Source organism: Homo sapiens, chromosome 1 (assembly GCF_000001405.40).
Source record: "Homo sapiens chromosome 1, GRCh38.p14 Primary Assembly".
NCBI classification, from domain to species: Eukaryota; Metazoa; Chordata; class Mammalia; order Primates; family Hominidae; genus Homo; species Homo sapiens.
In genome coordinates, this window is record NC_000001.11 from 224,933,754 (window position 1) to 224,959,595 (window position 25,842).

Genomic DNA, 25,842 nt, shown 5'->3' on the forward strand with positions numbered 1-25,842 from the left:
TTGCACTCCTGGTATAAATCCCATTTGATCATGGTGTATTATTTTTTTGATGTGCTGTTGGATTTGGTTTCCTAGTATTTTGCTGAGGAGTTTTGCGTCTATGTTCATGAGGGATATTGACCTGTTGTCTTCTTTTTTGTTGTTGTTGTGTTCTTGTGTACTACAGATATCACTAACGTTGTTTACAGCCAAAGAAATGCGGAGACTACACTAATACACACACGCAGACTCAAAGCCAAAGTACCGTAACAGCCAGTACCATAGATATATCTTCAGGGAAAAGTCCTTCCCTATGAAAGTATCAAAAATAGGAAGAAGTGACTGTTACACCAGATGCACAGATATCAGCATAAAAACATAAAAAACATGAAAAAGCAAGGAAATATGACACCTCCGAAGGAACACAGTAAACCTCCATCAGTAGATCTTAATAAAAAGAATTTTCAAAATCTCAGATACAGAACTCAAAATACTGATTTTAAAGAATCTCAGTGACATACAAGAGGATTGTTAAAAAATACAAATAAATCAGAAGAATAATTTAGGACATGAATGAGTAATTTCCTAAAGAGATAAGATTCTTTTGAAAAGAACCAAATAAAAATTCTGGAACTGAAGAATTTATTGAAGTAAATACAAAATACATTTGAAAGCTTCAACAATTGATTAAATCAGGTAGAAAAAAGAATCTCAGAACTTAAAGATAAGTGTTTTGAAATAATTCAGTCAGAAAAAATAAAGAAAAAAGTATAAAAAAGAATGAGCAAAGTCTTCATGACATTTGGGACAATAAAAAGTGACAAAAGTTATGAATTATTGATATCCCCAAGGGCAAAGAGAGAAAGGATTAGAAAACCTGTTTTACAAAATACTAGATAAAAACTTCCCAAGTCTAGCAAGAGATTTAGACATTCAGACACTAGAGGCTCAGTGATCCTCAGGCAGAAACAATGTGAAAAGATCCCCACGGCACATTATGATCAGACTGTCTAAAGTCAAAGATAGAATCTTAAAAACACCAAGAGAAAAGATCCTTGTCACCTATAAAGGAAACCCCATTAGACTACTATAGATTTCTCTGCAGAAACCTTACAGGCTAGAAAAGAATGAATGATATATTCAAAATGCCAAAAGAAAAAAATGCCAACCGAGAATATATTATCAGCTAAAATGAAGTGAAGGAGAAATGAAGTCATTCCTAGACAAATGCTGAAGGAATTCAGGATCACAAAATTGGTCCCCTAAGAAGTGCTCAAGGGAGTCTTAAACCTGGAAGTAAAAGGATGACATTTATCATCATGAATACACATGAAAGTATAAAACTCAGTGGTAAAGCAATCACACAAAGGAGGAAGGGAAAGCACTCAAATGATACCACTGCAGAAATTCACCAAACCACAACAACAAAAAGAGAAAAATAAAGGAACAAAGAATATATAAAACAACCAAAAAACAATTCACAATATGACAGGAACAAAGCCTCACATGTCAGTAATAACCTTCAACATAAATGGATTATTCACTTAAAAGATATAGAATAGCTGAATGGATTTTAAAAAGATTCAGCTATATGCTGCTTACAAGAAACTCACCTTATCAGTAACGACACATATAGATTGAAAGTAAAGGGATAGAAAAAGATATTCCATGCAAATGGAAGCCAAAAGGGAGTAGGAGTAGCCATACTTAGATAAAACAGACTTTAAGTCAAGAATAGTAAAAAAGACAAGGTCGTTATATAATGATAAAGGAATTAATCCAGCAGGAAGATACAACAGTTCTAAATATATGCAACCAACACTGGAGCACCCATATTAATAAAGCAAATGTTACTAGCTATAAAGACTGCCATACAATAATAGTAGGGGACTTCAATACCCCACTCTCAGTATTAGACAGATTATCTAGACAGAAAATCAAAAAAGAAACATTAGATTAGAACTGGACTTGAGACCAAATGAACTTAACAAACATTTGCAGAACGTTCTGTCCAACAATTGCAGAATATATATTCTTATTAGCACATGGAATGTTCTCTAGGACAGACTAGATATTAGGCCACAAAACAAGTCTCAACACATTTTTAAAAATCAAAATCAAGTATCTTTTTTGGCCACATTGGAATAAAACTAGAAAGTAATAAGAACAACTCTGGAAACCATAAAAATACATGTAAATGAATGTATTTCATTCAACATGCCCCTGAATGACCAGTGAGTCAATGAAGAAATTAAGACAGAAACAAAAAAAATTTTTGAAACAAATGAAAATGGAAACATAACGTACCCAAACCTGTGGAATATATCAAAGTAAGTGCTAATGGGGAATTTTATAGCAATGAATACCTACATGAAAAAAAGTAGGAAGATTACTAATTAACAATCTAATGATGTACCTCAAGGAACTAGAAAAGCAAGAACAAACCAAACCCCAAATTAGTAGAAGAAAAGAAATAATAAAGATCAGATCTAAATGAAATAGTGACTAAAAAACATAGAGGATCAATGAAATGAAAAACTGATCATTTGAAAAGAAACAAAATTGATAACTGATAAACCACAACCACCAGCAAGACAAACCAGAAAAGGAGAGAGAAGACCTAAATAAACAAAATCAGAAATGAAAAGGAGACACTACAACTGATACCAAAGAAATATAAAGAATTATTATAGATTATTATGAATAACTGTGTGCCAAAAAAATAGGAAAACCTAGAAGAAACGGATAAATCCCTGGACATATACAACCTATTAAGATTGAACCATGAAGAAACAGAGAACATCAACGAACCAATAGGTAGTAACAAGTTCAAAGCTGTAATAAAAAGTCTTCCATCAGAGAAAAGCCTGGGACCTGATGCCTTCACTGCTGAATTCTACCAAACATTTAAAGAATAACTAATACTAATCCTACTCAAATCCTTCAAGAAAAGTGAAGAGGAGGGAGTACTTCCAACCTCATCCTACAAGGCTGGCATTAACTTGAAGCCCAAACCAGAGAAGAACACACAAAAAAGGAAAACTATACGCAAGTATCACTGATGAAGATAGATGCAGAAATTCTCAACAAAATTCTAGCAAAATGAATTCAACAACACATTAAAAAAATTATTCTCCATGATCAATTGAGATTCTTCCCAGGGATGTAAAGATGGTTCAACATACACAAATCAGTGAATGTGATACATCACATTAACTGAACCAGGAACAAAAATCATATGATTATTTGATTAGTTATCAAAAAGCATTTTATAAAATTAAACATCCTTTTATGATAAACATCCTCATCAAAATGAGTATAGAAGGAACATACCACAAAATAATAAAGGCCATATATGACAGACCTACAGCCGACATCAGGGAAAAATTGAAGGCTTTTCCACTAAGAAGTAGAACAAGACAAATATACCCACTTTGCCACTTTTATTTGACATACTTCTGGAAGTCTTGGCCAGAGCAACTAAGCAAGAGAAAGAAAGGTCATCCCAATTGGAAAGGAAGAAATCAGATTAACCTTGTTTGCAAATGTCATGATCTTATATCTAGAAAAATATAAGGGCGCTACCAAAAAAACTGATAGAACTGATAAATGAATTCAGTAAAGTTGCAAGTTACAAAATCAACATACGAAAATCAGTAGCATTTATATACACCAAAAGCAAACAATCTGAAAAAGAAATCAAGAAAGGAATCTCATTTACAGTAGCTACATAAATATAAAATACCTAGAAATCAATCTAATCAAAGAAATGAAAGTTCTATACAAGAAAACTATGAAAATTTGATGAAAGTAATTGAAGAGGACACAATGAAATATATATTCCATGCTCATGGATCAGAAGAATTAATATTATTAAAATGACAATACTACCCAAAGCAATTTACATATTCAGTGCAGTCCCTAGCTAAATACCAATGACATCCTGCACAGAAATAGAAAAAACACTTCTAAAATTTGTATGGAACCACAAAAGATTCTGAATAGCCAAAGCCCTCCTGAGCAAAAAGAACAAAGCTAGAGACATCACACTACCAGACTTTAAAATGTACTCCCAAACTATAGTAACCAAAACAGTATGATACTGGCATAAAAACAGATCCATAGACCAATGGAACAGAAGAGAGAACCCCGGTATAAATTCACACATTTACAACCAACTGATCTTTGACAAAGTCACCAAGAACATTCAGTGGGGAAAGGCAGGTCTTTTCAATACATGGTGTTAGGAAAGCTGGATAACTCTATGCAGAATAATAAAACTGGACCCCTATCTCTCACCATACACAAAAATGAAATCAAAATGGATTAAAGACCTGAATCTAAGAACTGAAACTATGAAACTACTAAAAGAAAATGTTGGGAAAATGATCCAGGTATTTGGCAAAGATTTATTTTGTGTAAGACTTCAAAAGCACTGACAACCAAAGCAAAAAGAGATTATTGGATTACATCAAGCCATAAGCTTCCACACAGCAAAAGAAACAATCAACAGAGTGAATAGACAATCTACAGAAAGGGAGAACGTATTTGCAACCTAAGCATATGACAAGGGATTAATAACCAGAATATATAAGGAGCTCAAATAACTCAATAGCGAAAAAACAAAAGGATTAAAAATAGACAAAAGATATGAACAGACATTTCTCAAAAGAAGTCATACAAATGGCCAAAAGGCATATGAAAACGTGTTTGACATTGCTAATAATCAAATAAATGCAAATCAAAACCATAGTGCAACATCATCTCACTTCAGTTAAAACGACTTGTATCAAAAAGACAGGCAATAACAGATGCTAGTGAGAATGTGGAGTAAGGAGAATCCTCATACACTGTTGGTGGGAATGTAAGTTAGTACAACTACTATGGAGAACAATATGGAGGTTCCTCAAAAAACTAAAAATAGACCTGCTATGTGATCCAGCAATTCCACTACTGATTATATATCCAAAAGACAGGAAATTAGTATATCAAAGAGATATCTGTACTTGCATGTTATTGCAGCACTATTCATAGTAGCCAAAATATGGAATCAACCTAAGTTCCCATCAATGGATAAATAAAGAAAATGTGGTATATATACAAAATGGAATACTATTCAGCTGTAAAAAAGAACCCTGTCGTTTACGGCAATGTGAATGGAACTAGAGGCTATTATGCTAAGTGAAATAAGCCAAGCACAGAAAGACAGATATCACATGTTCTCACTCATATGTGGGAGCAAAAAAAGTGGCTCTCGTGCAAATAGAGTAGAATGGTAGTTACCAGAGGCCGGTAAGGGGAGGGGGATGAATGGAAAAAGAATAAATATATTTATTACCACTGAACTATACATGTAAAAATGTGAAAGATGGCAAATTATATATGTATATTTTACCTCATTAAAAAAGAGAAATAACAATTTTAAAAATACAATACTTGACTGACAGTTATTTTCTTCTCAGCATTTTGAGGATATTAATTTATTGTCTTCTGGCTTCTGTTGTCTAATAAACCAGTTAAACAATACACTTTTAGTCTTTTTATTTTCACAGAGTAAGTAGAACCCTCAGATGCACTGGATTGTACTCTAATCCTTTTCCCCTATACCCAGTCATCATTGATCTTGGCATGGCCCTTTTAAAACGAATCAAAAAACGGCCGGGTGTGGTGGCTCATGCCTGTAATCCCAGCACTTTGGGATGCCCAGGTGGGTGGATCACGAGGTCAGGAGATTGAGACCATCCTGGCTAACATGGTGAAACCCTGTTTCTACTAAAAATAAATTTAAAAAAACACGAAAAATTAGCTGGGTGTGGTGGTGGACGCCTGTTGTCCCAGCTACTCAGGAGGCTGAGGCAGGAGAATGGCGTGAACCCGGGAGGTGGAGCTTGCAGTGAGCCGAGATTGTGCCACTGCCCTCCAGCCTGGGCAACAGAGTGAGACTCCATCTCAACAACAAAAAAAACTAATCAAAAAACATGTTCAAATAATAAACATCTGCAAGCCCACTATATAAGAGAAGACTTAGAATATTGAACAATAATTTTTATCTGTGAACCTCTTTGATATGGTTTGGCTCAGTGTCCCCACCTACATCTCTTGCTGAATTGTAATTCCTAGTGTTGGAGGAGGGTCCTGGTGGGAGGTGACTGAATCATGGAGGTGGATGAATCATTTGTCACATATATGTTAAATGTTATTTCACTTATCTATTGCTGTGTGACAAACCACCTTAAACTCTAGTAGCTTCAATCAACAACAATTTACTCTCTCTTGATTCTAGACTGAGCTGAGTAGTTTTGCTGCTCTATGTGGCATTGGGTCACTCATTCAGCTGGCTGCATTCATTTGATGGCTGAGCTGGGCTGAAGTGAAGAAAGCTTCACTTACATGTGTGGTGCTTTAGTGCTTTCCCACATACTATTCCATGTGGCTGATTTGGGTGGTCATGGTCATCTCAGGGTAGTCAGATTTCCCACATAGTGCTTAGCTTTAAAAGGGAAAGTGAAACCTGGCAGGTCTCTTTAAGGGCTGGGCCTGGAACTGGCTAATATTATTTTCACAGTATTCTGTTGGTCAAAGGAGTTCACTAAGACCAGCCCAGATTTAAAAAGAGGAGAAATAGACCCCACTTTTTGATGAGTGGAGTAGCATCCATGTATATCAATCAATTAATGGTGGTTATCTTTGGATACTGTGTATTACATATTTTTTGTAAATATCTCACAGTATGCAGCTTGTCTTTTTATTTTCTTTAGAGTGAGGTTTAATAAATTCCTAATTTTATTTTATTTTATTTTTATTATACTTTAAGTTTTAGGGTACATGTGCACAATGTGCAGGTTAGTTACATATGTATGCATGTGCCGTGTTGGTGTGCTGCACCCATTAACTTGTCATTTAACACTAGGTATATCTCCTAATGCTATCCCTCCCCCTTCCCCCCACCCCACAACAGGCCCCGGTGTGTGATGTTCCCCTTCCTGTGTCCATGTGTTCTCATTGTTCAATTCTCACCTATGAGTGAGAACATGTGTTTAGTTTTTTGTCCTTGCGATAGTTTGCTGAGAATGATGGTTTCCACCTTCATCTATGTCCCTACAAAGGACATGAACTCATCCTTTTTTATGGCTGCATAGTATTCCATGGTGTATATGTGCCACATTTCCTTAATCCAGTCTATCATTGTTGGACATTTGGGTTGGTTCCAAGTCTTTGCTATTGTGAATAGTGCCGCAATTAACGTACCTGTGCATGTGTCTTTATAGCAGCATGTTTTATAATCCTTTGGGTATATACCCAGTAATGGGATGGCTGGGTCAAATGGTATTTCTAGTTCTAGATCCCTGAGGAATCACCACACTCACTTCCACAATGGTTGAACTAGTTTACAGTCCCACCAACAGTGTAAAAATGTTTCTATTTCTCCACATCCTCTCCAGCACCTGTTGTTTCCTGACTTTTTAATGATTGCCATTCTAACTGGTGTGAGATGGTATCTCATTGTGGTTTTGATTTGCATTTCTCTGATGGCCAGTGATGATGAGCATTTTTTCATGTGTCTTTTGGCTGCATAAATGTCTTCTTTTGAGAAGTGTCTGTTCATATCCTTTGCCCACTTTTTGATGGGGTTGTTTGTTTTTTTCTTGTAAATTTGTTTGACTTCATTGTAGATTCTGGATATTAGCCCTTTGTCAGATGAGTAGATTGCAAAAATTTTCTCTCATTCTGTAGGTTGCCTGTTGACTCTGATGGTAGTTTCTTTTGCTGTGCAGAAGCTCTTTAGTTTAATTAGATCCCATTTGTCAATTTTGGCTTTTGTTGCCATCACTTTTGGTGTTTTAGACATGAAGCCCTATGTCCTGAATGGTATTGCCTAGGTTTTCTTCCAGGGTTTTTATGGTTTTAGGTCTAACATTTAAGTCTTTAATCCATCTTGAATTAATTTTTATACCAGGTGTAAGGAAGGGATCCAGTTTCAGCTTTCTACATATGGCTAGCCAGTTTTCCCAGCACCATTTATTAAATAGGGAATCCTTTCCCCATTGCTTGTTTTTGTCAGGTTTGTCAAAGATCAGATGGTTGTAGATATGTGGCATTATTGCTGAGGGCTCTGTTTTGTTCCATTGGTCTATATCTCTGTTTTGGTACCAGTAGCATGCTGTTTTGGTTACTGTAGCCTTGTAGTATAGTTTGAAGTCAGGTAGCGTGATGCCTCCAGCTTTGTTCTTTGGCTTAGCATTGACTTAACAATGCGGGCTCTTTTTTGGTTCCATATGAACTTTAAAGTAGTTTTTTCCAATTCTGTGAAGAAAGTCATTGGTAGCTTGATGGGGATGGCATTGAATCTATAAATTACCTTGGGCAGTATGGCCATTTTCACGATATTGATTCTTTCTACCCATGAGCATGGAATGTTCTTCCATTTGTTTGTATCCTCTTTTATTTCATTGAGCAGTGGTTTGTAGTTCTCCTTGAAGAGGTCCTTCACATCCCTTGTAAGTTGGATTCCTAGGTATTTTATTCTCTTTGAAGCAATTGTGAATGGGAGTTCACTCATGATTTGGCTCTCTGTCCGTTATTGGTGTATAAGAATGCTGGTGATTTTTGTGCATTGATTTTGTATCCTGGGACTTTGCTGAAGTTGCCTATCAGCTTAAGGAGATTTTGGGCTGAGACGATGGGGTTTTCTAGACATACAATTGTGTCATCTGTAAACAGGGACAATTTGACTTCCACTTTTCCTAATTGAATACCCTTTATTTCCTTCTTCTGCCTGATTGCCCTGGCCAGAACTGCCAACACTGTGTTGAATAGGAGTGGTGAGAGAGGGCATCCCTGTCTTGTGCCAGTTTTCAAAGGGAATGCTTCCAGTTTTTGCCCATTCAGTATGATATTGGCTGTGGGTTTGTCATAGATAGCTCTTATTATTTTGAGATATGTCCCATCGATACCTAATTTATTCAGAGTTTTTAGCATGAAGGGTTGTTGAATTTTGTCAAAGGCCTTTTCACATCTATTGAGATAATCATGTGGTTTTTGTCTTTGGTTCTGTTTATATGCTGGATTACATTTATTGATTTGTGTATGTTGAACCAGCCTTGCATCCCAGGGATGAAGCCCACTTGATCATGGTGGATAAGCTTTTTGATGTGCTGCTGGATTTGGTTTGCCAGTATTTTATTGAGGATTTTTGCATCGATGTTCATCGGGGATATTGGTCTGAAATTCTCTTTTTTTGTTGTGTCTCTGCCAGGCTTTGGTATCAGGATGATGCTGGCCTCATAAAATGAGTTAGGGAGGATTCCCTCTTTTTCAATTGACTGAAATAGTTTCAGAAGGAATGGTACCAGCTCTTCCTTGTACTTCTGGTAGAATTCGGCTGTGAATTCATGTGGTCCTGGACTTTTATGGTTGGTAAGCTATTAATTATTGCCTCAATTTCAGAATGTGTTATTGGCCTATTCAGAGATTCAACTTCTTCCTGGTTTAGTCTTGGGAGGGTGTATGTGTCAAGGAATTTATCCATTTCTTCTAGTTTATTTGCGTAGAGGTGTTTATAGTATTCTCTGATGGTAGTTTGTATTTCTGTGGGATCGGTGGTGATATTCCCTTTCTCGTTTTTTATTGTGTCTATTTGATTCCTCTCTCTTTTCTTCTTTATTAGTCTTGCTAGCGGTCTATCAATTTTGTTGATCTTTTCAAAAAACCAGCTCCTGGATTTATTGATTTTTTGAAGGGTTTTTTGTGTCTCTATTTCCTTCAGTTCTGCTCTGATCTTAGTTATTTCTTGCCTTCTGCTAGCTTTTCAGTGTGTTTGCTCTTGCTTCTCTAGTTCTTTTAATTGCGATGTTAGGGCGTCAATTTTAGATCCTTCCTGCTTTCTCTTGTGGGCATTTAGTGCTGTAAATTTCCCTCTACACACTGCTTTGAGTGTGTCTCAGAGATTCTGGTATGTTATGTCTTTGTTCTCGTTGGTTTCAAAGAACATCTTTATTTCTGCCTTCATTTCATTATGTACCCAGTAGTCATTCAGGAGCAGGTTGTTCAGTTTCCATGTGGTTGAGCGGTTTTGAGTGAGTTTCTTAATCCTGAGTTCTAGTTTGATTGCACTGTGGTCTGAGAGGTGGTTTGTTATAATTTCTGTTCTTTTACATTTGCTGAGGAGAGCTTTACTTCCAACTATGTGGTCAATTTTTGAATAAGTGCGGTGTGGTGCTGAGAAGAATGTATATTCTGTTGATTTGGGGTGGAGAGTTCTGTAGATGTCTATTAGGTCCACTTGGTGCAGAGCTGAGTTCAATTCCTGGATATCCTTGTTAACTTTCTGTCTTGTTGATGTGTCTAATGTTGACAGTGGGGTGTTAAAGTCTCCCATTATTATTGTGTGGGAGTCTAAGTCTCTTTGTAGGTCTCTAAGGACTTGCTTTATGAATCTGGGTGCTCCTGTATTGGCTGCATATATATTTAGGATAGTTAGCTCTTCTTGTTGAATTGATCCCTTTACCATTATGTAATGGCCTTCTTTGTCTCTTTTGATCTTTGTTGGTTTAAAGTCTATTTTATCTGAGACTAGGATTGCAACCCCTTTTTTTGTTTTCCATTTGCTTGGTAGATCTTCCTCCATCCCTTTATTTTGAGCCTATATGTGTCTCTGCACGTGAGATGGGTTTCCTGAATACAGCACACTGATGGGTCTTGACTCTTTATCCAGCTTGCCAGTCTGTGTCTTTTAATTGGAGCATTTAGCCCATTTACATTTCAGGTTAATATCGTTATGTGTGAATTTTGATCCTGTCATTATGATGTTAGCTGTTTATTTTGCTCGTTAGTTGATGAAGTTTCTTCCTAGCCTCAATGGTCTTTACAATTTGGCATGTTTTTGCAGTGGCTGGTACCAGTTGTTCCTTTCCATGTTTAGTGCTACCTTCAGGAGCTCTTTTAGGGCAGGCCCGGTGGTGACAAAATCTCTCAGCAGTTGCTTGTCTGTAAAGGATTTTATTTCTCCTTCACTTCTGAGGCTTAGTTTGGCTGGATATGAAATTCTGGGTTGAAAATTCTTTTCTTTAAGAATGTTAAATATTGACCCCCACTCTCTTTTGGCTTGTAGAGTTTCTGCTGAGAGATCAGCTGTTAGTGTGATGGGCTTCCCTTTGTGGGTAACCCTACCTTTCTCTCTGGCTGCCCTTAACATTTTTTCCTTCATTTCAACTTTGGTGAATCTGACAGTTATGTGTCTTGGAGTTGCTCTTCTCGAGGAATATCTTTGTGGCATTCTCTGTATTTCCTGAATTTGAATGTTGGCCTGCCTTGCTAGACTGGGGAAGTTCTCCTGTATAATATCCTGCAGAGTGTTTTCCAACTTGGTTCCATTCTCCCCGTCATTTTCAGGTACACCAATCAGATGTAGATTTGGTCTTTTCACAGAGTCCCATATTTCTTGGAATCTTTGTTCATTTCTTTTTATTTTTTTTTCTCTGAACTTCTCTTCTCGCTTCATTTCATTCATTTGATCTTCCATCACGGATACTCTTCCTTCCAGTTGATCGAATCGGCTACTGAGGCTTGTGCATTCGTCACGTAGTTATCGTGCCTTGGTTGTCAGCTCCATCAGCTCCTTTAAGGACTTCTCTGCATTGGTTATTCTAGTTAGCCATTCATCTTATTTTTTTTCAAGGTTTTTAACTTCTTTGCCATGGGTTTGAACTTGCTCTTTTAGCTCAGAGTAGTTTGATCATCTGAAGCCTTCTCTCAACTTGTCAAAGTCATTCTCCGTCCAGCTTTGTTCCGTTGTTGGTGAGGAGCTGTGTTCCTCTGGAGGAGGCAAGGCACTCTGATTTCTAGAGTTTCCAGTTTTTCTGCTCTGTTTTTTCCCCATCTTTGTGGTTTTATCTACCTTTGGTCTTTGATGATGGTGACGTACAGATGGGGTTTTGGTGTGGATGTCCTTTCTGTTTGTTAGTTTTCCTTCCAACAGTCAGGACCCTCAGGTGCAGGTCTGTTGGAGTTTGCTGGAGGTCCACTCCAGACCCTGTTTGCCTGGGTATCAGCAGCAGAGGCCACAGAACAGCGGATATTGGTGAACAGCAAATGTTGCTGCCTGATCGTTCCTCTGGAAGTTTTGTCTCAGAGGAGTACCCGGCCGTGTGAGGTGTCAGTCTGCCCCTACTGGGGCTGCCTCCCAGTTAGGCTACTCGGGGGTCAGGGAACTGCTTGAGGAGGCAGTCTGTCCGTTCTCAAATCTCCAGCTGCATGCTGGGAGAACCACTACTCTCTTCAAAGCTGTCAGACAGGGACATTTAAGTCTGCAGAGGTTTCTGCTGCCTTTTGTTTGGCTATGCCCTGCCCCCAGAGGTGGAGTCTACAGAGGCAGGCAGGCAGCCCTCTTTGAGCTGTGGTGGGCTCCACCTAGTGGGAGCTTCCTGGCTGCTTTGTTTACCTACTCAAGCTTTGGCAATTATGGGCGCCCCTCCCTCAGTCTCACTGCGGCCTTGCCCTTTGATCTCAGACTGCTGTGCTAGCAATGAGAGAGGCTCTGTGGGTGTAGGACCCTCCGAGCCAGACATGGGATATAGTCTCCTGGTGTGCCATTTGCTAAGACTGTTGGAAAAGCACAGTATTAGGGTGGGAGTGACCCGATTTTCCAGGTGCTGTCTCTCACCCCTTTCTTTGACTAGGAAAGGGAATTCCCTGACCCCTTGAGCTTCCCTTGCTTCGGCTCACGCTCGGTGTGCTGCACCCACTGTCCTGCACCCAGTTGCTGACACTCCCCAGTGAGATGAACCCGGTACCTCAGTTGGAAATGCAGAAATCACCTGTCTTCTGCATTGCTCATGCTGGGAGCTGTAGACTGGAGATGTTCCTATTCGGCCATCTTGGTTCCACCTATCCTAAATTCCTAATTTTAATACAATGTAGTTTTGGAATTTCATATTATATTCTTGTTTTTAAGTTATTCACTATCTCTAGATCAGAAAATTGTTCAGTTTTCAAGTTTTACTTCTCACATTTCAGTCACTTTGGAAAACTTTCTTTGTCCTTGTTTTGTTTGTATATTTGGTGTGAGTCAGGAAATGAATCTAATTTCATTTTTTTCCCCTTATGGCTTTTTTTTTTTTCCTAGCTGGATTATTTTTCCAACTGATTTGATATGTTACTTGTTGTATATCAACGTTTCATCTACTTTTTTTTTTTTTTTTTTTTGAGACAGAGTCTTGCTCTGTTGCCCAGGCTGGAGTGCAGTGGCCTGATCTCGGCTCACTGCAAACTCTGCCTCCCAGGTTCCAGTGATTCTCCTGCCTCAGCCTCCCGAGTAGCTGGGATTACAGGCATGCACCACCACGCTCGGCTAATTTTTGTATTTTGAGTAGAGACGGGGTTTTACCATGTTAGTCAGGCTGGTCTGGAACTCCTGACCTCAGGTGATCTGCTCACCTTGGCCTCCGAAAGTGCTGGGATTACAGGCGTGAACCACCGCACCCAACCTCATCTACATTTGGTACTGTTTCTGTGATTTCCATAATGTTATCTGTAAATTTCTATGTTCCATTACTATGCTGCCTCAGTTATTAAAGCTTTAGTATTAATTCTACTATTAGACTCTCCTTCATGTTATTTTTTTCTCAGAAATGTCTTGGCTATTCCTGACCTTTTATTCTTCTATATAAATTTTTAATCACCTTGACAAAGTCTGTCAAACAAACAAAAAAACTGTTGAGATTCTGATCGGAGTTATTTTGACTGTAAAGAATTGATGTCTTTGTTTTTTCTACTCAGTAATATTTTGCTCTTTTGATCCTCTTGATTGAGGTTTATTTTCTATTTTTAAACATTTCTGCTTTAATCTTTAGTATTATTCTACTTTGGATTTATAAAGTTTTACTTTTTCTAACTTCTTAATTTGGATACTTAATTTAGATAATATTTCTTGTTTTCTAGTATAAGCATTTTATGGCTGTATATTTACGTATGAGTACCTCTTTAGCTGCATCTCACAAGTTTTAATTTTAATATCTTAACATTTATTTCTTAATATTTTAAATTTTCTATCATTTCTTTTTTTGAAATATGAGTTATTTAGACAGGTATTTCTTTATTTCCAAATTTATGGGGTTTCATGATTCATCTATTTCTACTCTAATTGTATTGTGGTCATAGAATTTGGGCTATATGATGATAAATCATTTCAAATTTGTTGACTTACAGTATGATCCAGTAGGTGGTTGATTTTCAAACTATGCCATATGTGCTTAAAATTATATGTATTCTGCACTTCTTGAGTTTTATATAATATATATGTTAAATCAAACTTTTAAATTGGACTGTTAAAATCTGTATCCTTAATGTTTTCATTTGTTTGTTTGCTAGTTTTGGTAGGAAAAGGTTGGCCTGATTAACTGAAATAAGTTTGTTAAAATGCCTCATTATCATACTAGATTTATTTTTTCTCCCTATGGTTCTTTCAGTTTTTGCAATATATATTATATGTTTACACATTTGCATTCCATATTTAGAAACCATGTTGTTAAGTCCAAATTCCAAACTCTTCTGTTTTATTTTCCTGGCAAAATGAAAATTTAGTCACTATGTAGTGATTATCTTTCTATCTAGTGACTCTTTCTGCTTGAGTACCTTTTTTCTGATATGAATATAGCTATAATATTTTTATTTTCTTTAATAGTTGCCTGGTATATCTCTTTCCTGTACTTGCATCCTTGTTGTATCTTTATGTTTCGGAAATTTGTCTTTTGAATAGGGTATAACTGAAATTTCTTCCCAATTTTGCTATCATTGTCCTTTTAGATAATTTAGTTCATTTATATTGATTATAATTAGTAATATGTTTCTATTTATTTCTGCCACTTTATTTTGTACTTTCTCTTTTGTTCTGACTCTTCTATTTATCTTTCTGTCTCCTCTTAGATGGGTTGCTTATATATTTATTTTTATTTCACCCCCACTCCCAACTGTTAGCTTGAAGTTATGCATTCTATATATACTTTAGTCATTACCATAAAAATTTTAAGATGCATACTTATCAAAGCATAAGTTTAATCCATCTGTTTTTCTTCCCCCAGAAAATGCAAGTATCTTAAAACACTTTAGTTCTGGTCATTCCCCCTCCTGACCTCTATGCTGTTATTGTTGGGTAATTTAGTTCCATCTCACTTTTAATCCCATAAGAAATAATTATTGTTTTATGCAGTGTTTGTTTAGCTTTACTCACATATTACTTTTTTTGCTCATAATTTTTTCTTTCATCTGAGACCTTTCACTTGGGATCATAGTACTTCTTTTTTGAAGTCCTTTAGGATAATTTTTACTTGTGTTTATTGATTTTATTTGCCTAGCAATGTCTTTATCTGGTTAAAAAAACACATATTTTTACCAGATATAGAATTCCAAGTTGATGGTTATTTTTCCTTAGCACATTGAAAATATTGTATCATTTTCTTGGTTTAGATTTTACTGTCAAGAAGCCCATTCTTAGTCCAATGGTTTTCCAGCTTAAGTAATCTATCTGTAGTACCATTAGGATCTCTTCCTTGTCTTTGGCATTCTGCAGTTTCACTATGTTGGGTGTGTGTGCGTGTGTGTGCATGTGTGTGTGTGTATCCACATGTGGCTGCTCATATGTATGTATATATATGAACATATGTTCATTCTGCTTAGAATTTGTTGGACTTTATGAAACTGAAGGTTTATGTCTGGAAAATTATTCTCAGTCATTATGGTCCCCATTTCTCTCTTCTTCCAGACTCTTGATTTGTTTTGTCTGATTTATTACTTTATTCTTTGTAATAGTTAACCCATCTTTTATTTTTTCAGATCTACCTGAATAAAAATAAGATTACTGTTTGGGAAAGTGAAGGAGGAAATGAATATTGTATGGGCAACCTATTAAAGTCAACCACACTATTCTTTATTTTAAACTTTTTCTCATGTTTTTAATCCCTCTCTTGTATAAACACATAATTTGTTTTGCCTCTGATACTTTGGAAGGTTCATGCATTATTATATTTCTTCAAGACTTAATACATTATATTTCAACCTGTAGTTTGTGAGCTGTGCATTTTAGATAGCATCTATTGACTCTCTATTGCAAAATGAAGATATTAGAATATAATTCATGAATTTACCTTTTATCTGATATCTCCTACTCCCAGATTTCCATTGTTTATGTTATAATTTTTGTTCTTCTTATGGATAATTTTATACTTTTTAATAATATATTTACGCTTCTGTTATTTTATCAGCCTTAACCAGTGTCTGTTGACCTCTGTATCAGAAAGATGAGGAAAGCAAATCACTTATGCTACCTACATTCCATCTACCTCCCTTTCCTCCCATCTTGATTTTTTTTTAGTACTTGCACTATTACTTCAATACTCATATTTAGATTTTATTTACTATCTCAATATAAGTATAGAAATAAAATTTTGTTCTGTGTTCATAAGTCCCTTCGTTGTTTTGACTTAGTTCTGTATTTAAATGAGTTTAATGCTGTTATTATTATTTTCTTTATTTACAAGTTGTCCTTTTTTTATGTCTGTGTTGGTGGGATTTATTTTCATGTGCCTTTTATAAGAAGGTATTATGGGTGATATTTTTCATGAATTTTGCATGTTTTGAAATGTTTGTTATTTTCATGCTTAAATGAAAACTTGACTCTGTATAAAATTCTTGAACTATTCTTTTTATTTCCCTTAGGAAATGTTCTGGTATTTGAATGTTGCTGTGAGAAGTGTGAGGTTAACTTGATGTTTTTTACTTGTCTGATATGAAAAAAGTAGCTCATTTAATTTTTTTTTACAGTTTGATTAGTAATGAGTTTGAGCAACCTTTCTTGTTTATTAGATGTTTGTTGGTAATGATGAGAGCATGAATATGTAAGTCACTCCAAAGTCAATGCTGAGGTTGGGGTTAGCATATACTCTCTTGAAGGAGCTGGCAAATGATGGCCTATCGGCCAAATCTGACCTGCCACCTGTTTTTGTATGTCTACAAGCTAAGAATGGTTTTTACACATGAAAATTCACAACCACTTTAGTGATAGGTAACACTAACTTCGAATCCCAGTTAAGTGAGATGTTATCTTCCCCAAAAGAACACTATTTTGCTCATAGGCCTACTGTATTACAAAAAAAAAATACTTAATTATTATTACCACTTATTGAATTTCATCAATAAAACATTTGTGGCAATTTGTTTTCTCTTTTGTTATATGGTACCTATGTAATAGCCTCAATTTTGCCTTTTGACTCACAAAGTCTGAAATATTTACTCTTTGGCTCTTTTTATTTTATTTTTTGAGATGGAGTCTCGCTCTGTTGCCCAGGCTGGAGTGCAGTGGCACGATCTCAGCTCACTGCAACCTCTGCCTCCTGGGTTCTAGCGATTTGCCTGCCTCAGTCTCTCAAGTAGCTGGGATTACAGGCATGCACCACCACTCCTGGCTAATTTTTGTATTTTTAGTAGAGGCGGGGTTTTGCCATCTTGCCTAAGCTGGTCTCGAACTCCTGGCATCAAGTGATCCATCCACCTTGGTCTTCCAAAGTGCTGGGATTACAGACGTGAGCTACTTCACCTGGCCTTGTTGGCTCTTTTTCAAAAAAAGTTTACTGACTCTTGCTTTATTGCAAGTCCAGAATGGATTTGATTTAGGGATTTTTTTTTTTTAATCCAGTGCCATCTACTTCCCTTAGGCTCTGTTTTTTCATCTTATCTCCAGTTATGGTCAAAGTTGTATCCTTCAGTTATTGGCTGCAGTGAATGATCCTTCTGTGGCCTTTCTTGGTATTCTTTGGGTCATGACTAGGACTCTTTCTGCACCCTGAGTCTCGTCAATAGGTAGACTGTCCTACATTGATGTTATAGTTGTCAGCTTCATACCTACTGTGTAGATTTCTGGATTTTTTTTTTTTTTTTTTTTTTTTGAGACGGAGTCTCGCTCTGTTACCCAGGCTGGAGTGCAGTGGCACAATCTCGGCTCACTGCAAGCTCCGCCTCCCAGGTTCACACCATTCTCCTGCCTCCGCCTCCCGAGTAGCTGGGACTACAGGCGCCCACCACCAATGCCCGGCTAATTTTTTGTATTTTTAGTAGAGACGGGGTTTCACCGTGGTCTCAATCTCCTGACCTCGTGATCCACCCGCCTTGGCTTCCCAAAGTGCTGGGATTACAGGCGTGAGCCACGGCGCCCGGCTGGCATTTCTATTCTAGTAAGAACTACTCTTACCCCTGGCTTATTTCAGTCTATCTTAGTTGATTTATCTGAAGCATATTCACTTGCCAGCTAAAACTTTTTCTATTCTCCATTGATTCCAGTCTTAAATTTTTGCCTTTAATTCTTCAGTTACAGTACACGGCCATGTAGCACATCAACTTTATTTAGAGACTTTCTGTATCTTGTTAGATTTCCCTCAGTCATCAGAAAGAAACTCCCCTTTTTATATTTCATAACCCACTCCCTTTTGTTCTATTCTATTCTGTCTGAAGAACGCTAGTAGTATATGGATGTGGCCTTTTAGTGCTTAGTGAATGATGAAATTAGTTCATCAGCTTCAGCTACCACTTCTGATGACTTTCCTAAGTTCTTTTTGATAATTTCCCCTAAGAAAATAATCTTAAAACTTATCATTATCTTTAGCATGCTATTTAATGTAAGCTAAAATTGTATGTACATAAACCAATGCATGTAAGATGGAAACAAATTGCCATAGAAAGGAAGTTAGACAATATAGAGATTGCCCTGAGAAGGCTAACTAGCTTAGTGAAGGGTTTGGAAATTATACTGTATATAAGAAACAAAGGCAGTCAGGATATTATATTAAGCCTATTGAGAAGCTGGGAACTATATATGCCATTTTGAATACCAATTGTCATAGCTGTCAGATTGTATTGTATATTAAATATAATAATGTGAATTTTGTTACAGCCAGTTCCTTTATAGTTTTGTTCAGAAAAACATATGGAGACGTTTATACCCATTGATTTGACAACTGAAAATCAAGAGATGGACAAGGAGGAAACCAAGACAAAACCAAGGTAAAAGTAAGATAAAATATAATGAGTTTTTTTCTAAAGTAAGATTTCAGCAGTGTATGGCTGGTGGTAAGCCATTCTGACAGTGAAAGACTTAAAATATCTTATCAGAATTTATTGATGATTCTAGAGTTTAGAAAACCTTAGTTTCTCAGGGAGTGTTTTCTGATAAGACAGGCAAATTAACCCTGGTTGTTGGCTCCTTCCCCCAGACCAACCTTGGATATGCCAAAAAAGTGAGAAGGAGGTTGTTGGATATGAGAAATTAACCAACAACTGAGAAATCCTAGGAAAGCAAAAGGTATCATTTGTAACAGTATCAAAAAATAGGTACATTAGATACATAGAAATACTTTTTTTTTTTGAAACAGAGTCTCACTCTGTCGCCCAGACTGGAATGCAGTGGCACGATCTTGGCTCACTGCAACCTCCGCCTCCCAGGTTCAAGCGATTCTCCAACCTCAGCCCCCCGAGTAGCTGGGGTTACAGGTGCCCACTACCACACCTGGCTAATTTTTTTTGTATTTTTAGTAGAGATGGGGTTTCACCATTTTGGCCAGGCTGGTCTTGAACACCTGACCTCGTGATCCACCCGCCTCGGCCTCCCAAATAAATACGATTTTTTAAAATGATGTAATTATGACCTTTATGAGAAAATTATAAAGTTTAATTGAGAATTCAACAAAATTTATATAGAAGAGCAAAGGGCCAAGAATATGTAAAACACTCCTTAAAAAGAAAATCTGATAATCTTGACCTACAACTATAAAAAACTTATTATAAAGCTATCATAACTAAGAAGTGTGCTGTAGAAACAAGGATACACAAATAAAGAATAAAGAACCCAAGAACAGACAATTATATTCATTTTAAGTGAACATAGACTTGGCGTTATAGGTTAGTGAGGATTGAGTGGGCATGTTCAATAATGGTGCTGTGACAATTGTATATCCTTATTGGGTGGGGGCAGGGGAAGAAATGGAGTCTGTCTCTTACACTATACCAAAAAGTCAAGGATTTAAAGACTTATGTATTAATTAAAAGACTTGTAAAAGGTAAAACTTTATGTTAGGAAAACATATAAGCTCATTTTGTTATTACCTTGGACTAAGGAAAGATTTCTTAAGAAGCCATAAACAATACAAACCATAAAGGAAAAGGTAGATAAATTATATTAAAATTAGTAACTTCTGTTTATAAAGACATCAAGAAAGTGAAAAGATAATTCCAAATCAGAGATACAAAGTGACATTTTGATTGCTGCTCAAAATGTGTAAATAACTACTACACATTGTTAAGAAAATGGCAAAAAATTCAGTACCAAAAAAAGAAAAAAAGGTGGGGAGGACAACAGATATGGATAGACATTTTAATGAAGGGGAAAATTTTCAAGATGTTTATAAACAAAGAGGGAACTTAAAGCGCTCAAAGGAAAAGGATTTAAGAATAATACCTAATAAATGATCTATAAATAAGTTCAAAGACATTGTGCTTTCTTTGTCCTAGAAAAGAAATATTACCTTCTTAATGATATAAGTATTTTTCTTTAATATACCAATAAAGTGCTTTTTTCCCCTTAACACTACATATAAGACTTTATGGAACCTAGAATTTTCTCTGCTTTGTAAAACTGTGATCTACCATATAAGTCTATTGTAGGCAGTAATTTTGGATTCTGTTCTTATGAAAAAGTTTTTCCAGCAGTAGACAGTTTGCCAGTGTCCTGTGAAAAAAAAGGAAGGCAACATATGAGTATGAAATTTCAGAAAATTGTGTTCTGACTTCACTCTGCTTAATTGGGTAACAATTCTTCATCTCCTAAAATGAGATCAAGATTCATAAAGCCCTTCTAAGTTTAAATGTTCAGTGATAATTTATATTTATTTTTTAGTGGTAACACCAGTTAGACCTATTTAAAATTTAACTAGACTCTCCATGTAAATGTTGCAGATCTTTTTCAAAGTGCCTATCAAAAATTACTTGAGTGAATAGATATTATATTGTATTGTTCAGAATAAATATTTAATCTTTCAATTATGGAGCATGTTAACCATAGCATTTATTAAACCTAAGAAGCTGTTTTAATTATAAATGTGAAATTTTGGTAATATGCTAATAGCTCAGTATTTTATTGGTGTGATTTTCCATTTATTTTCTTAGAATTGTTTTCTTTGTCATTTAGACTTTTAAGATATGAAGAGAAAAAATATGAAGATGTGAAACCATTAGAGACTCAACCAGCTGAAATAGCAGAAAAGGAAACATTGGAATATAAAACAGTTAGAACATTCTCTGAATCTTTGAAGTCAGAGAAAACAGAAGGTATTTATCAAGATTACTATTCTGGCATGTTGATTTATATTTTAGTTTATGGAAATTGAAAGAAATTTTTCATAGCATTAAATTAAGGAAACAAGTGAAACATATTGAAATATTAGTGTCTATTTTACTAACTTCATTAGTTATAGCAGTTAGCAGTGTCTTCAAATAACGGGAACATTAACTACTCATAATAAAAGTAACGAATATTACTAATACCAGTGAAATGTCAGAATATCTGATATGTCTGTACCACTTTACAGTTTCCATCACTTTTTCATGCATATCATGTCATTTTTTTTGAGGTACAGACCTTACAGGTGGGTCACGGTTCTCCTAAGTCCCCAGTGCCTCTAGCTGTATTGTGACCTCCTTTATTGGTCTTACCTACTAGTGTCTAATTACTCCCTCACATACTTCCATTTTTTAAGTCTTTTTTCCTTCTTCACTCAAATTCTGCCATTTTCAGGATTTGATTTTATTTTTTACCACAACTTCCTTTCTCATCCAGCACTCTTATGTCCTCACTTTTATAAGCTTCCAGCCCCATTTATGGTGCTTGTGTGGGGAAAACTGTACCTCCTCTCCTTTAAAGTAAATCCCACCACCTCTGGAGCTCCGCTTCTGCCATTTCCATAGGAAGTTGGGGTCCATCAGATATATTCTCTTATGTCTTTTTTTCTCCTAGCTCTTTTTGTCAGCACATAAACATGCCACATGCTTAAACAACTTAAACAAAACAACCCAGAAGCATCTTTAGTTCTGTATTAGCTTTTCAGAGTTATCAGTCCTCTTGAAAGAGTAGCCTAGACTTCCTTACCTCTAATTCATTCCTCAACCTGGATTCTACCTCCTTCATTCTACCGATAAGACTCTTTCAAGGTCACCAGATACCTCCTCGTGGCTAATCTTTATAAAATAATTAATTTATAAATAAAATAATTTGTATTTTACTGCACCATTCTGCAATATTTTATTATTTGACCACTTATTTCCATTTTTCCCCCTTGACTTTTAAGGAAATTTACTCACCTGGCTTTCTTTATACTTGTCTATCTGCTCATTTTCAGTCTCTTTTATGGATTTTTACTTCTCTGTGTTCCCTTTAAATGTTATTGTTTCTCAGGTGTTTTAGGGTCTGCCAAAATTAGTGTTTCCTGTTCTCTCTGGACTAGACCATACTTTGTTTTTAGTAATAATATATAGTCATGTACTGCATAACGACATTTTGGTCAATGATGGACTGAATATATGATGATGGTCCCATAAGATAATAATACTGTATTTTCACTGTACCTTTTCTATGTTGAGATGTGTTTAGATACACAAATACATACTATAGTGTTACAGTTGCCAACAGTATTCAGTACAGAAACGTGCTATACAGATTTGTAGCCTCGGAGTAATAGTCTATTCCATATAGCCTTGGTGTGTACTAGGCCGTACCACCTAGGTTTGTGTAAGTGCACTCTTAGATGTTTGTGTGACAGAATTGCCTAATGATGCATTTTTCAGAATGTATCCCTGTCATTAAGCAATACATGACTGTATTTCTTCCTATTTTACCTATTAAATCCATACCACAAACAATATTTAGGTACACCTTTAGTTGTCTTCATCCTCTGCCTGAAGATGGGTATATTTGATTTCTGGAAGGGGCCTGAGCTTCCAGAATTCTGGCCTTCATTGGGCCAGAATGTTTTAATCTGTGGAGTGCCTAGACCTTACAGATAGCTGTGTTTGCAGGCTGGACAAAGCTTCCCCTCCAACAGAGTGAAAAGTAGAAGTACTCTGAGCCTTTTGCTATTTTTCTTAGGAAAGAGGAAAGAAATATAAGGCTAGATAGGGATACAAGTGTTGGGTAAAGCAAGGATTTGGCCACGTTAAGGAATTTTGTCATTATACTTTGAAGATAAGAGCCGTGGAAAGGTTCTAAGCAAGGAGTTAATATGAGGATTTCTGTTTTGTAAAGATCACTCTGGCTGTATATTGAAGAACAGATTGGAAGAGAACAAGAATCGATATAGGGGGACCATTTATGAGGCTGTAGATATTCTGAAGGTAGAATTATCAGTTACGGTGATGGGTTGGTGAGAGAGAAGGAGGTGTCAAAGATGATACCTACACTTTGGGCTTGCTTAAAATAATGAATAGTGGTCCCATTCACTAAGACAAGAAGTCCTAAAAAAAGGTCAGGAGTTTAGAGGAAGGATCATGAGTTCAATTTTGGACATGTTGAATTTGGGGTACCTTTGACACATGCCAGTGATGTCTAGGAGGCAGTTGAATATATGTGTCAGGAGCTCAGAGAAGTTAGGGCTGAGGTGTTGTATTTGGGAATAATCATGTGTGTGGATGTTTAAGCCATAGTCATGGATGAGATTGACCAGTGAGAATGTATAAAGTGAGACTAAAACAGGGCCAAGGAACAGTAGCAATTACGAGCCAGGAAAAGGACAGCTGCAAAGGACATGGGATTGGTCAGAGTTAAGCTGAATAGGATGACAAGAAAGACAGAGTGTGAGGTGTCACAGGACTCACCCAAAGGAAACAACTGTATCCAAAAGGAGGAGTGGTCTAAAGTATCAAATAACACTGGTAAGTAACATGAGGACTAGAAAATGTCCATTGAATTTACTGACCTCAAGAATATGGGACGTGAGTGCTGTTTTTGTGGCGTTCCAAAGCCAGACCAGAGTAGAATAAGAAATGCATAGTAAATGAGGAAATAGAGTTAGTGACTATATGCAACTCTTGAGAGAAGTTTAGCTGTGAAGAAAGGCAGGATGTAGACTGATAACCAGAGGAGCTGTGGTTTTATTTGAGGCAGGAGCTGCTTGGATATGCAAAAGAAAAAAGGAGTAGTTAATAGTGTAGGCATGAAGAGACGTGATCTAAACAAAATGTGGAAAGGATTGGTCTTGGATGAGAGGAAAACCAGACACCTCCTTTACTAAGTCAGGAGGACAGGAGGGAAAGATGGGTGCACATGTGGGTTGCTTTGTTTGTTTGAAAATGGCAAGTTGAAGGAATTCCCACTGATGCTTTTTTTGTTCCCTGGGAAGTAGGCTTTGAGATCATTTAGAGGAGAGAGACTGAAAGGTAAAGGTTTAGAGATTTGAGGAGCATGGAGAAAATCTGAAATAGTCATTGAAAAGGAAGAAGAGCAAGTTAACTGGACAGACAATAGGATTTTTGGTTTGTGTTCAGGATCCATTTGTGGTTAATTAAAATGAATTTTGGGGGTTACCAATCCACGTAGGGCCTCTTTCAAATAGCACTAGGATGTGCAGATGTAGGCACAAAGAACACATAGAGTTGGTTTTATCCAGGGGCAGCGTTTTGCCATACAGGTGAGGCCAACAGAAAGTGGGAGTTTCGGATATTGGCAAGAGTGCTGTGGAAAGACATAATCTAAGCTGGATAAAGAGAAAGGTGAAATAAAATAGAGGGATGATGGATTGTAAGAAAGGAATGGGGCAATGGACTGGAGTTCCTGATGAGCTTAAAAAATGGTCATGTTGGGAGAATTAAACAAGCTGAGAGGATGGAGGGCAAGTGATGACAAGCACTATTATGTAATTGTGAATGTGGTTGATTGATGTAGACTTAGTGATGGGAGGACATCTAGAAAATGGGGGAGGAGAGCACAGCTTTAGACAGGGTCTTAATTCATGAACACTGAAGTCATCCATGTGATGGCAGATTTAGTATGGAGAAAGTTGGCTCTCCCGTGAGCCAGAGTTCCAGATTGAGTGACCAGGCAATTGGTACTTATCAATGAAGAGTGGAAGAATATAGTGGAATCAAAAAGCATGAGCTTCTAAGGAATAGGATTTTTTTTATTTATTAAAGAAAGAGGGCAAGTTGTTATGATTTGGAAGTGGTGAATGGAGAGTAAGGAGTGTTAAAACAAGCTCACTTTCCAATCTTGAGGTAAATGGAGTGTGGGAATATAAACAGCCTCTAACCAGAGGGTTGCATGTCAGTAGTGCCATAGGGAATAACTAGGTTTCAACTAAGGTAGAGAGGTCAGAGAAATTCTTGGAATAGAGCTTAAAGATAGAAGAAAGTTTTCACAACTACCTCACCAATCTTTCCACTAATGCCCACATTTTTTTCATTGTGATCTCCTGAACAGTCCTCTTGTTTTCTTATCTTTCTCTCATCCCCAGCCACCCTCCTCCTCATTACCCCACAATTGAAAGCCTTACCATCATTCAACATTTGATCTTTGGAACAGGAGAGGTCTGTGGTCTCCTGATTATACAAGTGGGAAATTATCTCTCTTCTGAATTAGGACTATTGGTTGAAATAAAACTTACTGTTTATTTCATTTGTATCCCTTTGTTTTGTTTGTAATTATCGTGTCTTTTGCCTTACTAAATTGTAGCACAATGCCTTGCACTACAGAAATATTTGTTCAATGAATGAGAACAAGAAAATGTATTTCTTTCTTCAAAGGTCTGTTTTTAATATTTTCCCCATTCTTCTATGTGT

At 36.6% G+C, this 25,842-nt stretch overlaps 1 protein-coding gene across 25 annotated transcripts in view; it reads left to right on the forward strand.

The window, feature by feature from the left end:
- DNAH14 (dynein axonemal heavy chain 14) overlaps positions 1 to 25,842 on the forward strand; it is a 469,633-nt gene that overhangs the window by 4,100 nt on the left and 439,691 nt on the right. For all 25 annotated transcript variants that reach the window (XM_011544062.3, XM_011544067.3, XM_017000296.2 and 22 more), the window contains exons 2-3: positions 18,917 to 19,026; positions 21,206 to 21,345. In XM_011544062.3, the coding sequence (XP_011542364.1) occupies positions 18,950 to 19,026; positions 21,206 to 21,345 (217 nt within the window). In that variant the 5' untranslated portion in view covers positions 18,917 to 18,949. The remainder of the gene's footprint in view (positions 1 to 18,916; positions 19,027 to 21,205; positions 21,346 to 25,842) is intronic.